Source organism: Homo sapiens, chromosome 11 (assembly GCF_000001405.40).
Source record: "Homo sapiens chromosome 11, GRCh38.p14 Primary Assembly".
NCBI classification, from domain to species: domain Eukaryota; kingdom Metazoa; phylum Chordata; class Mammalia; order Primates; family Hominidae; genus Homo; species Homo sapiens.
In genome coordinates, this window is record NC_000011.10 from 1,122,850 (window position 1) to 1,126,148 (window position 3,299).

Sequence of the window (3,299 nt, forward strand, 5' to 3'; positions counted from 1 at the left end):
CTCTCCCCCTGGCCACCGTGAGGCCACCTCTTCTGTGGTGGATGGCGGCCTGGGCTGTGAGCCCTGCGTCAGCCGTGGACCCACCCTCCCTCTCTTTCCTTCCTCTCTCTCTATCTCTCTCCATCATTTCTCTCCCTCCCTCTTTCCTTCTCTTGCTTTCTTTCTCTTTTCCCTTCTATCTCTTTTTTCTTTTTCTCTCCCTTGTACCCTCCCTCTTCCCTCCTTCCTCCTGATTCCCTCCTTCCTCCCTCTTCCCTCTCTCTCTCCCTCCTTCTTCCTTCCCCCTCCCCCTTCCTTCCTCCCTCCGTCTTTCCTTCCTTCCCTCCTTTTTCTCTCTCCCTCCCTCTGCCTCCTCTGTTTCTCTCACTCCCTCTGCCTCCTCTCTCTCTCTCTCTTCCTCCTCTCTCTGTCTCTCTCTCCCTCTGCCTCTTGTCTCTGTCTCTTTCCCTCCTTCTGCCTCCTCTCTCTGTCTCTCTCCCTCCCTCTGCCTCCTCTCTCTGTCTCTCCTTCCATTAGTACATCATATGGGATGCAATGCTGGCTGAAGGCATGTGGGACAATTTTTTAGACTGTCCTTTTTCTCAATCCCTCCATAACATTCAGGCCACAGAGGCTTTGGTCCTGTCCTTGCTGTGTCCAGCATCACCTGCAGTAAAATCCAGCCTCAGTCCCCCTTTAGGACATGCGGGGACAGAGCTCCGTGGAACCCCAGCATGACATGCTGTTCACCTCTTTAACGCTGCACCTTTTCATACTGTTAAAATGGCAATCAGATTTCCAATGTATGAACTTTGAGGAATATATTCACACCATAACATGCCTCTCTGTCCTTTGGGCCTTCTCAGACCTGTTCTGTCCACCTAGTGCAGGTGCTGTCAGCTTCAGCCTCCTCCTCAGAGACCAGACATGTCCTACAATCTGGGGTCCCTTGTCTGGCCAGAGGGAGGGACGTCAGGATGGGACAGGTACTCCAAGAGTTCTGACTTAAACAGCCCAGGAGGTGGTTCCTTGGGGTGTGGAAAGAGAGCAGGGGTGGTTCAGGAGATAGCCCGTGGCTATTGTTCATGTGGGGTCTGAATTCAGGCTGCTCACATCTGGTTCTGCCCAAGACTTAGCTTCTCAACATCTGCACCAGGAATAGAGGACCCACCTGCCCCAGGGAGAGATGACTGACCTGCCCCAGGGCCAGAGGATGCACCTGCCTGAGGACAGAGGGGTGTGAGTCCTGCCCTCTGCTCATAGGCAACCCTGGAGCATGGGCTCAAGCCTTCTGAGACTTGGTGGGGGCATGGGATTTACTCCCAGGCAGGGCTCACCTGGACCAGGGCCCTCCACTGCCCCTGGTGCTGAACTCAACCCCACCCCTGAATACTGCCGTGGGGTTGTCTATGAACATCTCCCCCAGCTCTCAGTGAGCTCCCTGAGGGCAAGACCTGTTCCAGCCCCATGAAGGCCCCATACATGTTGTGGAATGAATAAATATGAGTGAATGAGTAAGTGAATATGAATATCAATAATACAGTTGAACATGTATGAATGAATGAAGAGAAATATGTGAATGTAGATGGATGGGAATGAATGGATGGGAATGAGTGGATGAGTGAGTGAACAGGAATGAGTGGATGGGAATGAGTGGATGGGACTGAATGGATGGGGATAAGTGAATAAGGATGAGGGGATGTGAATGTAGATGGATGGGAATGAGCACATGAATGAGTGAACAGGAATGCATGGATGGGAATGAGTGGATGGGAATGTAGATGGATGGGAATGTAGATGGATGGGAACGAGTGGATGGGAATGAGTTGATGGGAATGAGTGGATGGGAACGAGTGGATGGAAACGAGTGAATGGGAATGTAGATGGATGGGAATGAGTGGATGGGAACGAGTGAATGGGAATGTAGATGGATGGGAACGAGTGGATGGGAACAAGTGAATGGGAATGTAGATGGATGGGAATGAGTGAATGGGAATGAGTGGATGGAAATGTAGATGGATGGGAATGAGTGGATGGGAATATAGATGGATAGGAATGAGTGGATGGGAATGTAGATGGATGGGAATGAGTGGATGGGAATATAGATGGATGGGAATGAGCGGATGGGAATGTAGATGGATAGGAATGTAGACGGATGGGAATGAGTGGATGGGAATGAGTGGATGGGAATGTAGATGGTTGGGAATGAGTGGATGGGAATGTAGATGGATGGGAATGAGTGGATGGGAATGAGTGGATGGGAATGTAGATGGTTGGGAATGAATAGATGGGAATGAGTGGATGGGAATGTAGATGGATGGGAATGTAGATGGATGGGAATGAGTGGATGGGAATGAGTGGATGGGAATGTAGAGGGATGGGAATGTAGATGGATGGGAATGAGTGGGTGGAAATGTAGATGGATGGGAATGAGCGGATGGGAATGAGTGGATGGGAATGTAGATGGATGGGAATGAGTGGATGGGAATGTAGATGGATGGGAATGAGTGGATGGGAATGTAGATGGATGGGAATGAGCGGATGGGAATGTAGGTGGATGGGAATGAGTGGATGGGAATGTGTGGATGGGAATGTAGATGGATGGGAATGAATAGATGGGAATGAGTGGATGGGAATGTAGATGGTTGGGAATGAGTGGATGGGAATGAGCAGATGGGAATGTAGATGGATGGGAATGAATAGATGGGAATGAGTGGATGGGAATGAGTGGATGGGAATGTAGATGATTGGGAATGAATAGATGGGAATGAGTGGATGGGAATGTAGATGATTGGGAATGAATAGATGGGAATGAGTGGATGGGAATGTAGATGGATGGGAATGAGTGGATGGGAATGAGTGGATGGGAATGTAGATGGATGGGAATGAGCGGATGGGAATGTAGATGGATGGGAATGAGTGGATGGGAATGAGTGGATGGGAATGAGCGGATGCATGAATGAATGAAGATGACTCAATGAATGAACAAACAAACAACAGTCTCCCACAGTGGCCTGTGGTGTGAGCCCTGCTGCCAGCCATGGAAACTGAGGCAGAGAGGCTCCTGGCTCAGCCCTGCCCAGCCTGTCCAGCCCCTGTGATGTTGGACCCTCCGGTGCAGACCCACCAGTCATCTGCAGTGACGGGTGGCAGTGGACGTGGGCTGAGTCGCGGCGGACTGAGTCCTGGTGGCCACTGCTTGATTTCATTGCTGGGCAGTGCTCCCGTGCAGGGTGTATTTGTCCACTCCCCCTTGGGGTGCAGGGGCTGTGCCTTCGGTGCCTGTGGCTTCAGTGCCTGTGCCCGGGAGAGGGCTCATT